Source organism: Homo sapiens, chromosome 10 (assembly GCF_000001405.40).
Source record: "Homo sapiens chromosome 10, GRCh38.p14 Primary Assembly".
Taxonomy (NCBI): Eukaryota; Metazoa; Chordata; class Mammalia; order Primates; family Hominidae; genus Homo; species Homo sapiens.
This window is the reverse complement of record NC_000010.11, coordinates 120,168,746-120,181,838: the sequence shown is the minus strand read 5'-3', so window position 1 is coordinate 120,181,838 and position 13,093 is coordinate 120,168,746. Positions and strand designations below refer to the sequence as shown.

General features: G+C 38.8%; 1 long non-coding RNA gene across 2 annotated transcripts in view; it reads right to left on the bottom strand.

The window, feature by feature from the left end:
• LOC105378515 (uncharacterized) overlaps positions 1 to 9,219 on the bottom strand; it is a 164,918-nt gene extending 155,699 nt beyond the window's left edge. For both annotated transcript variants that reach the window (XR_001747606.1, XR_001747605.1), the window contains exons 1-2: positions 9,085 to 9,219; positions 443 to 609 (exon numbers count right to left, since the gene is read on the bottom strand). This is a non-coding gene — a long non-coding RNA (uncharacterized LOC105378515). The remainder of the gene's footprint in view (positions 1 to 442; positions 610 to 9,084) is intronic.
• Between the last annotated feature and the right edge of the window lie 3,874 nt (positions 9,220 to 13,093).

Here is a 13,093-nt window from a genome sequence, read left to right as displayed (position 1 = left end):
AAATGGATTTCTTAGGATCGCCTTGGAAATGTGTATTGTCAGTATAGAGTCTTTGGTTGCTTTTTAGAAAGGCTTTTTCCCAAGGACATTTAGATCTGTCTTCCTCATTGCTTTTACAAAGTGATGTCTGCCTTTTCTTTCATGGGTTGAAAACCATAGGCACCTCCAAATGGCACATTTGTTCCCCACACCTTGCCTGCTTTCTTGTGCTGAAACAGATTGGGGTTGCCAGGCTAGTCTCAGGCATGGGTCTGGCACTTGCCAACTGTGTGACACTGGGGACATGGGAGAGGGAAGGCAACAGGGAGACGGAGAAAGTGGAGTTTGAGGAGCTCTGTAGACCAGGCCCCTCATTCGGTGGGGGCTGTGCTGTGGTTAGAATGCTGAGACTCTGCCATCTCCAGGTGTCCTGGTGATCTGAGAACAGCATGGGGCTCCAGACCTTTTTCTCAAACCATGGCGAAGACTCTTCAGCTCCTCTACTGGCCTGGCAGGGGGTGAACGGGCCAAGGCAACACCGAGACACTTCCTCTGCCAGCCTGCGGTGTGGCTCCGAGCAGTCTGCACTTCAATGAACATCTCCTGGCAGGAAAGACTTCCCTCACTAGCCTGTAATTAAAGCAACACAGAGACGATAAACCACAAAAGGTTTGATTGATATAGCTAGAGACTTTCCACTTTAAAGGTCTTTATTTTATAAAGGATACTATAAATATAGAAAGCAAGCCACAGCTGAAGATATTTGCAACTTACTTCACTGACAATGGATCAATATCTATTACATACCACATAAAAGGATAAAGGATTCTTTATCCTTACAAATCAATAACAAAAGAGGACAGCCCAGAAAAGAAAGACTGAACTGCCAAAAACAATATGAAATGATGCCCAATCCCACTAATAATGAGGGATCTGCAAATGGCATCCAAGGGGTATGGGATGGTTGGGAATATGGGCTGGCTGGGCCCTGGAGATAGTTACAACAACAATAATAATAATAGTAGACTGGGCAAGAGAAAGCCCCTCACATGGTTATAAATAACCTCAGAGAATGAACCAAAGGCTGGAGTAGGGACTTGAGGTCCTGTCCTGCTCGTCTCCAGAAATACTCTTCTTTCTCTCTCTCTCTCTTTTGTTTTTTTTTGTTTTTTTTTTTTGAGGTTTCTTTCTTACAAAAAAGAACAAAATCTGAAGCAACCATGATAAAAATATAATATTTGAGAAAGCTGTGAGACGGATATATGAATGTTATTGTTTGAACTGCATGCTTGCTTGAAATATTTCACAATTTTTATAAAGTGAATAAAAGGTGAAAATGAGTGAAACTGTGGCATTAAAAATAAGGACAGAGTTGGAACAGGACTCCAAGATGAGGAAGCAATTCCGTGGGTCACAGGCCTGAAGGACGGCAGTACAGGTGTCACCTCCCCATCCCAGTGCCCAGTGCCCACTCACCACAGTTATTCCCTCTGGTGTTCATGACCGTGGGAGGGACCTTTCTCCTGCCCTGAGTTCCCAGCCCACATTCCAACCACCATACTGACTTTGATGACAGGCCATAAAGACTGAGGCTAAGATTTTTGGTATTAAGAAAGTGTGTAGCTTTCAAATTAGCCAAGCCCTGATGTTAATAAGAATATTCATTATTCATTGTAAATGTAGATACTGGGAAATGCCATGAGCTGAGTTCTTATCATCTGTTACAGGCTGTGTTTTGGTAACAGGACTTTCATTTAAATATCCCAAGTTTTGGCTTTTTCTTCAATTCTGATATATACATATATGTATATATATGTGTATATATATATATGTATGTGTATATATATGTGTATATATACATATATATATAAATTCACTGTAAAAGAAAATCAGTACAGGTTGGGGCAAATATAATGATATGACTTTCTGAAATGTCAAGGATTAGTGCTTTTGTATTCTGTGAGATATCTGATCACAGCAACTTGTGCTTCTTTGTGATAGCAATTAAGTCAAAGTTGCAAGAACCTATAATTTTAGGCTTGAAGTTGACTCAGATGGGTGAAATTATTTATTTTTCCCTTGCTCTTTCTGTGGACTCACATAATGAATTAAACGCAGGGCTCTCTTTCTTGATTATTGCTTTAGAAAGAAATTGTCATGCCTCATTTCTCATTTTCAAAAAGAGATGATAGCATACTTTATTATAGGATTTTTATGTATTGCTAATGTCTAGAAAACTCAGCAGATTGATTCTCTCTACATAAGGTGAAACTGATTGAGTGAATTAGATATCTATTCAAAAAAAAAGCCCATCAATTGTGACCTGAAAACTTTATAGAAGAGGGCACACAAGGATCCAATGGGAAAAGTATAAATCTACCACCAGATATGTCAGATTCCACCCAGAGAATTGTCTAAGATTGATCTAAGAACCATGCTATCCAATAGGTAACTTCTAAATACTAAGTAGTATAAATTACCTATGGGAGATGGAAGACATGTGAAAAGCAACTAAAAATATACTCTGAGGTTTATAAGGAAGGTCCAAATTAAAGAAGTTAAATTATAGGTATTTAAAAGCCAGGCATAAATAAAATTTCAGGTGCAATTTCCAAGGAGTCTCATAAGATATGACATCAGTAGTCACAGGACAAGTTCTGAACATCAGGCAACTGTGTAGTTGAAGAACATTGGACTCAACATCAAGAGATGCTGATTCCAGTAGCTTCTCCATGTAGATGAGAGATCTCCATAATGTGTGTTTGCCCAGCATGCCTTTCTCACCCTTTCTCCTTAAAAGGAGCTCCTTCCATGGGGTTCAAGTGAGGTGAACCTTTGAGGCTATCTATGTTTGGCCCTCCAAACCCAATCATCACCCTTCCTCACCCTGCTCTGATGCCTGGAACCCACAGTCTGGCCTGTGTTCACAGCTCCTCGGCATTCTGGTTTCCAGCTAGGATTGTCCAATGGGAGTCACCAGTAGGAGAACCAAAGACAGGAGGAAAGTGAGGTTTAGGGTTTATTTCCCACCTCCTTCTCTTCCACTGCCGAAGGCCACAGCTCCTGTCAGGAAGCCTCCTAGGTTCCAGTAACTGCCCCCTCCTTGCTCCGGCAGGCCTAGGGAGGTAAGAGCAGCCAAGGTACTGGATTATCCCTTATTGGTGTCTCTAAATCCTTTCCTATATCTTGGCAAATAATCTATTTATGATGCTTAAGTGACCCACATTGAGTATGCCATCCACTTCCCACTGGGAGCCGGCTAATGGCCCTCCCTTGACACCAGCTCCACCAGTGGGTAGAGCCTGGAGGTTCTAGACTTAGATCATTCAGACAGCTGGTGCTCCTGGTAAACAAAGAGCACCTCTTTCTTGATTGCGGTAAGCAAGCTGGAAACAGGTTTAGATTTGCATTTAGAAAGAAAACATTGGCAGTAAAACAAGACTAGGAAGAAGGCAAAACTGGAGGCAGGGAGACCAGTTGTTGGGTCATTTTTATTGTTCTTTTATGCCTACTATATGCCAAGTACTGTGTTAAGTCCTAATAATGTAAACTTGCACAAAAAAATAGTGGTGTCTGCAGCCTAGAGAACTTGTTGAATTTGAAGTATTATGATTGCCTTGACCTGGACTTAACTTCATTTGGGACACTGACACCATTTGCAAACTCATCCCAGATTTAAATGTCCTATGCAGAAGTTTCTGGATTATTTTTCTAAAGCCATATTTAAATAGACCAGAATACTCCAACTCTGGAGGTGCAATTCATCTGGCAATTTCCGTCATTACAGGAACAGAGCATTGTCAAATCCTCACAACAGCTGGAGGAGGAAAGTTCTGTTGTTTTCCCAATTTTACAAAAGTGGAAACTAAGGCCCAAGATCACACAACCAAAAAAAATGATAGGACTTCGATTGAAAACCAGGTAATCCTGATTTCTATAACTTTGATCTCGACCTCTGATCTCTACTGCTTCTCTAATCATTTTCGGAATAATCACAAAAAGTCGCCAAGGAATGGTTTTATAGGAAAAATGGGAAATCCCCATAACATTCAGACCTCAGAAAACATTATCAAAATTAACAGTCAGGCACATTTTCAATATTAACATTTCAAGCCAAGATGTTATTCATGCCATTTTAGGGATATTCTTGCATACGTCTCAACAGAGGGTTCTTAGGATGGAGCCCTAGCACGGCCTGGTGAGAATCTAATCTATTTTTTATTGCATCCAGAATATCACATTGACAGCTGGAGGCTCTCCAGTTCAATCGAGTATTAGCACTGAGCGTTCAGTCAGCGCTTCATTATCATTAGTTATGACTGAGCTACAACACACTTGTTAATGGAGTGCGTAGTGTTCTCTTCATCATCTGCATTTGCCATCAAACCACGGTATTGTGAAGCACAGCACATTCAGGTTTCAGTAAGACGTGTGCGTTTAGCACTGATTAAAGCAGCCTATTCTGCACCTGCTTCTCATCAAACAGGAGGGGCACTCAGGGGCTCCTCTCTGGAAATCGAGGGATGGTGTTTGCTATGTTAAAACTTACACTTGGCTTGGAGTGTCTCACTCCATTCAGATGTTCAGGGGTTATGAGTTAAGACATAAGTCCTGGAGACAGAGAAGGAAACAGATCCAATTAGAGGAGAGAAGGATGTTTCAGATAGTTGCCTTGCAAATGGTGAAAGTACAACTGCTTGCCATTTCCATTGGCTGGGTGGGAATTTGGGGTTCCTTGAAGGCACAAAACCATGAAACCAGAAAATATGAAAAATCGAGTGTTTGGGCTAAGTTGGTAGGTCAACAGTTGATAAGTAGCCATAATGGGCATGCATGAACACATGTATACACAAACACACACACACACACACACACACACACACACACACACACTTACTTGATAATCAAAGATCTTCCTGGAGGAGTAAGCCAGAATCCAAGTGGGAGGTGGCTCCCACCCAGAGCAGTGGTTTTGAAATAGAAAAACCACAGGAGATTAGAATGGGTACAAGGGGTCAGTTTAAATCTCTCGCAGGCTAGGGGGCCAGTGCCAGGTACTCAGAGAACAAATATGAGCCACCAGCACCAAGGAGGCTGACTCTTCTAAGGGAACCCAGCCTGGTCTAAAAACTTCTTTTATTGCTTACAGTTGACTGATCTTGATGTGCAGGCAAATAAGCCTGCCAAGGGGAGGAATACAGGAGATTCAAAGCCTGGCCTTTCGGTTACTTTGCGGTTCCTGCCTCTTTCTCGTATTATTCTTTCCCCACTGTTCCTCAGCACCGGATCAGATTGCCCACATTGGCTGCCTACAATGACCTAATCAACTGGATAGCTATTCAGCACTTCGTTTCTCTATATGCCGAGTGCACACAGTCTAGAAACAACTTTGAACCTGAGATGAAGAAAGTTCCCATTGTGAGCCATCCGAAATAACTAGCAAGAGTTTGCCAATTACCACATCATGGAAATTTAACACTAACAGCAGTTGACTGTGGGTTATAAAAGAAAAAGAAATTCTTTACGAAATAAATTAGTGAAATCAAAACATTACTTTAGACCATCAAAATTATGCAAATTCTGCCTGTCTTCACATTTTTTAGTCAATTTATTGCCAATGCGGTGTGTATATTCAATATTCTAAGGATTTCTGTGGGAATAACTTCATTGTAAGATAAACAAGTTTAGTCACTGACATATAAATGTAGCCACTGGAATAAAAATGAAATGGGTCCAGCCTATTACAGTACCCAGAATTTTCCATATGTCTATTCCATTGTAGCTGCCAAAGTCACCATTCCTTGTCAACCTCTAATTGGACACCAGGCCTAAAAGCCTTCAAGGATGGGGAGAGTCCTTTTGAGCTCTCGGATCCAAAACTTCAACCTACTCCAGGCTTAGTTATAAACCTATTATTCTGTAACTATGAAAACTGTACCATCTTCAGGCATCTCAGGGACCTCGAGACCTCATAAAATGAGAGCTCTCCAGAGGTCAAGTGCCGCATGAATGTGCTGACACAGAGATGGATTTTCAGCAGCAAGGCAAACTGAAGAAATTATGAAAATTAGTGATTTTATAGATGCAAATATTAGGCATCTTTAAAAAAAACATGTATACCTAATGTGGAGGGAGAGTACTTTTAACTAAACAATTGCATTTAGTTTTATTATAAAAGGTAGGGAAAATATGATCCGTGTATAGTGAAATCAGTAGAAAATTCTAATACACATTAAGCCCTAGATTGTATGGAGATTATCTTTCAAATAAGATTTTCATTGCTGTAGTACCTGCTAAGAGATGCATTAGAGGAATTTATAAAAAAAAAAAAATTAGTCAATTGCAAGGTGACAATAATTCTCTGAGCTAATGCCAAGCCACAGATGTAATTCCAAGCTTAACACAGTATGAAATCCTAAACACTATGAAGCAAAATGCTTGTTTCCTGTGCACTTTTTCAGAGTGTGTTTGTTTGTCTCCGACTTTCCTTTCAGCTCCAACATCTAACACTTCGGCCACAGGCCCCCAATATCCATGATAATCACTGGGAAAACATAAGACTAGGGCCAGTAAAATTCACAGCCATCTTCAATTTCCTAGTGCAGCAAGTCCTACCCAAAGAATGCATAGGTCTCCAAGGGTCTTTGCTGGGAGTGAAGAAAATAAGGATGGTGAGAGTCCCTTTTAGCTCTGAAATCCAAAGCTTCAAATTACTCCAGGCTTAGTTGTAAACCTATTTTCCTATAACTATGAAAATTGTACTATCTTCAGGCATCTCAGGGACCTGGAGACCTCATAAAATGAGAGCTCTCCAGAGGTCAAGTGCAGTATAAATCTCCTTTAGCTTGCAGCAGTCACTCTGAAATTTGTTATTATAAATAATCCATGGAAGACCTGCCCCACATGCTCAAGTGACGTTTGTTCATGATTTGAATGTCTTTGCCATTGTAATTCAAGGGGGTTTTCAATGTAGTCACCCAAAATGTCCAAACCACAAACATGAAAATCAAGTCTGGCAGCTCTAGAAGGCCAAAAGAAAAAAAAAAAAAAAAAAAGCATGCATTTAGAGAAGGTTCGTCAACCTGTTCCTCATGGAATTGTAAAATCCAGTTAGAAAGGACTTCCCAAAATTCTGGATGAAGTCTTGCATAAGTGGCTTGGAAAAGAGCCCCAGGACTGTTACATTTCAAGAAAGCATCTCTGGCCCTGTTAGTAACTGCTGCTTCTCTTTAACATTTGGCTTATGTGAGCATCCAAAAGTCTGTTTTCTCTTCTTTTCATATTGCAACCCATGCTCAAATCACTGCTGAGTGTACTCCATGGTCCTGCTATAGTTTTTAAAATACTCATTAGCACTCTAAGGAAGAGATCCTATTGGGTCTCTTCTCTGTGCTGAGAGATATTATATGTTTGGATATTTTAGGAATGGCAATCTTATTTCAATTTTGATTGGCATAAATATATTTTTGACTGACGCAGCTCCAAGTTTTAGTCTGTCATTTGCCTGAAGGTTTAATTGTCAGCTCCTCTTCCAAACGCAACTGATCAGCACTTCTCACTTTAGGATTCTGTAATTAGTTAGGATATACCTCAGTAATTTTAAGCACCTGCCTTACCTCCTAGCATAGAAAAACTCATAAACCGCTCAAGAGCTCTGAACAGTCCTGTATTCACTGTGCCGCCTACTTCATTGTGAGGATAAACAGCCTCTCTCCACTCCATTTAACTCAAATCAGTGACACATCTCAAGGTTTACCACTCCAGGTATTCTTATTCCCCATTTCACGTGCACAGCTTGCTTAATAGCAAGCTGAGCTATCCATTTAAAGGCCTTAAGTAACTTATTTACCTTCATCCTTTTGGGGAATTAATTCAGTATTTTTTACTTAGGAGCCAATTACATCCCAAGAAACTGATTTTTTCTCTTTGAATGAGGTAAATATCTCTCTTGGGTTCTGACTGAATTCATAGTATCATCAATGGAATACCAAGAAAGGTTGGGACAGGATGCTTAAAAGATATGAAGAACATCCAGAAGAAAGTAATGAAAATAAACAAAAGGATGCAAAAACAAAACTTACAAAAGGATGCAAAAACAAGACTTGCAAAAGGATAAACGAACTGAGACCAAAAGGCTGAGAAAACAGTTTCCTATTCTGCCTCTCTCACAAACGCACAAATGTGAAGTTCTTGTAAACGTTTATTTACATAAGTTATTTAGTGTCCATTAGAAGTCTTTCTGTCCCAGGTCCATAACACTATTGTCTTTGATCTCAAAAATGTGTTGAATTCTCCTGAGTTTATAGAAGTCTCTCAATTATTTTAGAGATTTTAGGGTAATGTGATTATTACCCTAAAATAATAAAGGGGCCCAAAATGTAGGCGTTATCTTATATATGACTAAATAAAAATAAAGTCCTAACAATGAACTATGAATAGTGAGTGAGGACCCCAAGGACAACTGAGAAAAAGTGTCATTCTTTAAGTTCCAAAACTAATCACTAAAATATACACAGTAACCAATCAATGTGTGCTGGAGTTCAGCTCTATACAAGGTACGACAGATGTTTACTGTGAGTTGTTATGTTTCACCTGAAAAGATTATCAAAACATTCTCCATAATGATGCTGCCCTTTTGAAGCAGTAATGAACACAATGCATATAGCATACAGTTCATACTCAATAAATATATTTTAAATAAATAAGGTGGTACATGGGTGGCATGCATCTTCTTGGCAGCTGATGGTGTTAGAATTGCCACAATGCAAATTTTAGAGTAAGAAACATATAGTTCTGATTAAATAACAAAACTATATACAGTTAAACACTTTGTTCAGAAGCAACTACAGTATTTACCCTTTTTCCCAGCATCTTATTTTTTAGGGTCATCTGCAGAAACTAATTTGACCAAAGTCAATTGATACCTAATGTATGAACTCCCAGTTAGATATGGCAAAAGAAAAGGTACTCCTTACCTTGAAACCTACAGGAAAATTATTTTTAAAAAAGAACAAAAAAGAGATCTTACAAAGTCTCCATTGTCAGTGAAGCAAAGTAATGGTCATAATCCCAAAATGCAAAATTAGAAGAACAGCTACCAAATACCGTAAAACATAGGCCGGGGTGAAGGAGGACTCTGAAAGTTAATACATCACATCTCTGATCCAGACCAGGACACAGGTCTCCCCACAAGTGTTCTTGAAAGATTGACCTATTAGACATCAAGATGGGAGGCAGGGGTCTGGCAAGCCTTGTGAGAACAGAATAACATTCCAATAGCTTCTCAGTGAGTCAGTGCAGAATGGCAGGGGAGGGGAGCTGAAGGAGGAACCATGTGACGTGCCACTTGATCATGTTCCAGCCTTCTGGCCACGGGTTCTTGAAGGGCTGGGGAAGGAAAAAGGGACTTTAGGGACTTATTTCCATATCACCACTCAAAAGGCCTGTGGCCTGAGGGGCTCCACCATGAGTAAACTCCCCACTCAGTGCCAAAAATAGAAGACAAACATGACACTTGGACAGAAAATCTAACAGAATGTGGTGTCCATATAAGAAAACAGTCTTAAAATAAGTTATGAATAGCCCTAGCTCACTGTCCCCCCCATACCTTACTATTCTTCAGCACACATATGGCAAAGAAAGAGATGTTCACATTTAAAAATGAGTGGTAACCAGTAAGAAATCAACAGAGAACAACAAAAAGTAAGAAGGGTGAAGAGTTACGGAGTGAAAGAAGAACACAAGAGTTGATGAAGGGAATTCACCTGGAAAACAGAAGTGTTTAGACAAATCATTCTACATAAATTCAGACAGTTTAATTATTCTGAAAAGAGCTCAATAAGACACACAAAAAAGAAAAACAAAGAAGATATAGACAACCGGAGAAAAGAAAGTGCAAGCTGGCAGTGAAGGTCAGAAAAGAAATGAAAAAGATCTTCACAGAGACCTATTAGAAGCCGCAAAAAGTGGATTAAGTGTGACTGAGAATATAGAGATATAGAGACCTCTTCAGAATTCCATTTTTTAAAGAGGAACAAAGAGATAAATGCTATTAGAGAGAAAAGGATAAAAAGGACAAAGATTCAAAATATGCATCAACCAATAAAGCTACCCACTCCTGCCAAAAAAAAGAGCAAGAAGATTTGAATGGAAAAAAATTACTAAAAATATTACAGATTTAAAATAACACTATTTTTTTTCTTTTTTTCTTTTTTTTTTTTTTTTTTTTTGAGATGGAGTCTTGCTCTGTCACCCAGGCGGAGTGCAGTGGCATGATCTCGGGTCACTGCAAACTCCGCCTCCTGGGTTCAAGTGATTCTCCTGCCTCAGCCTCCCAGGCAGCTGGGACTACAGGCACATGCCACCACACCCAGCTAATTTTTGTATTTTTAGTAGAGATGGGGTTTCACCAGCATGGCCAGGCTGGTCTCAAACTCCTGACCTCATGATCCACCTGCCTCGGCCGCCAAAAGTGCTGGGATTACAGGCGTGAGCCACCACACCTGGCCAACACTAATATTTTTAAATCCTAAAAATTTTTTAAAGATTTTAATTTGAAAGTCCAATGGCCAGCAGATGTTCTTCAGAATGAAAAGAAATGAATGTCAATGTGCAGAAGAAATGAAGCACAGCAGCAAACATAAAGATGTAAGCACACATAAGAGACTGTATTTTCTTCTCTTGATTTTTTTTTTCTTCTCATGCCCAAGTGATTTACCTGGGAGAGGCAAGTCTGTCATGTACCCTGAGCATTCCTGCTTGCCCTGGCTAAGTATGCCAAACTACAAAAGTCTTAAAAGGATAGTTTAAAACAAAAATAACATTGTAAGTTGTGAGTTATAATTATGAAGGAATAAAATATACGACAACAGTAACACAAAGAGAAGGGTACGGGTAAGTGGAATTAAACTGTTTGCTAGGTGGAAAGGGTAAAGTAGGAAGTGGAAAGTGTCATGGGTAAAATGTGAAAATGGAAGTGTGAAGTGGAACTTTATTTACTCTAAGACTTTGATAGATTAAGGATGTATATTAATGGCCTTAGAGCAACACTAGAGAAATAATAATAAAAGATGTAGCTAAGGAGTCAATAAAGGAAATAAAATAGAATGCCAAATAATATTTGATTAATCCAAAACAAAAAAGCAGGAAAGGAGTAACTGAGGAACATAAAACAGAAAGGAAAAATAATAAACAAATAGCAACATGACAAACTTTAATATTGTTGGTTGTTATTAATTTAAGGATAAAGGCATAAGTTTATAGTATAAAGATGAAAGGCCAGGTGCGGTGGTTCACGCCTGTAATCCCAGCGCTTTGGGAGGCCGAGGCTGGCAGATCACCTGAGGTCAGGAGTTCAAGACCAGCCTGGCCAACATGGCGAAACCCTGTCTTGACCAAAAATAAAAAAAATTACCTGGGCGTGGTGGTGCATGTCTGTAATCCCAACTACTCGGAGACTGAGGCAGGAGAATTGCTTGAACCCAGCAGGCAGAGGTTGCAGTGACCTGAGATTGCACCACTGCACTCCAGCCTGGGCAACAAGAATGAAACTCTGTCTCAAAAATAGATAAAAAAAAAAATAAATAAAGATGGAAAAAAATACCATGCAAACAATAATCATAAAAAAGCTGAGGTGCCTGTATTATCGTCAAACAGTACAAATATCAAGAAGTAAAATATTATCATAGATAAAAAGGGATATTTCATGATGATAAAATAATTATTGTATAATGAAGACCTAACAATTTGAAATATGTATGCACCAAATAACAGAGTGTCAAATATGTAAAGCAAAAATTGACAGAACTAAGGAGAGAAAAGACAAATCCACTTTCATAGTTGGAGGTTTTGCTTTCTGCTTCCCAGTAATCAATAGAACAAATAAACAAAACATTGATTAAGAATAAAGAAAATCTGAACGACACTATAAACCAACTTGACTAAATTAATATTTTTGGAACATGAAAATCAACAACTTCAAAACACGTGTGCTTTACAAGTGCACACAAAATCACCAAGATAGGTTATATGCTCGGTCATGAAATGAGTTCAATAAGTTTCAAAAGATTAAAACCTTACAGAGTAAGTTTGCCATGCATAATAAAATTAAATTAGAAATTAAAAATAATATATCTAGGAAAAAACACAGATAGTTGGAAATAAAATAACATACTTACATATAATCCATGGATCAAAGAAGTCACAAGGAAATTAGAAAATGTTTCAACTGAATAATAATGAAAACACAACATACCAAAACATGCGGGATACAGTTAAAGCTAGCTCAGGGAGAAAGTTATTATTTTAAATGTCTACAATAGAAAAAGAAAAAAGATTTAAAATCATTGACCAAAGTTTCCCCTTATGAAGCTAGACGAAAAAGAACTAACTGGATATCAACTAAGATATAAAGGTAAAAACAGAAATCAATGAAATAGAAAATAGACTAAATAAATATGGAAATTTAACAAAGTCGAAAGTTGGTTCTTGGGAAAAACATCAACAAAATTGATAAACCCCTTGGCAAGACTAATACATAAAAAAATTGAGAAAGCACAAATTACTAATAATAGGAATATAAATATATCCAACAGATGTTTAAAGAATTATAAGAGAATAATATGAAGACTTTATTGCCAATCAGTTTGACAACTTAGATAAATGCCTTGAATGACATTAATTACCAAGGTGGAATCAAGAAGAAACAGAAAATCAGAATAACTTAGAGAAATTGAATCTGTAAATCAAAAACCTTCTCACAAAGAAAACCTCATGCCCAGGTGATTTCCCTGGGAGAGGCAAGTCTGTCATGTACCCTGAGCATTCCTGCATGTTCTGGCTGAGTATGCCAAACTACAAGACTCGACCATCCCCTTAATACTGAGCAGTTTATATAGCCAGTCATACGGGCAGTTAAGTGGGTCAAAGCAACCACTAGTAACCACCATGGCCCTACTTACTCCTTAGGGTAGGGAGACTGGCCTGCTGCCTGCTTGCTAAAAAGGATGCTGAGTTCTTGGCCCTGGGTTTCTCAGCTACAGCACAAACTATTGCATGCATAGTCACCATCTGATCCCATCACAACACCCTGCGGGTCTTGCAGCAGGAACTGCTC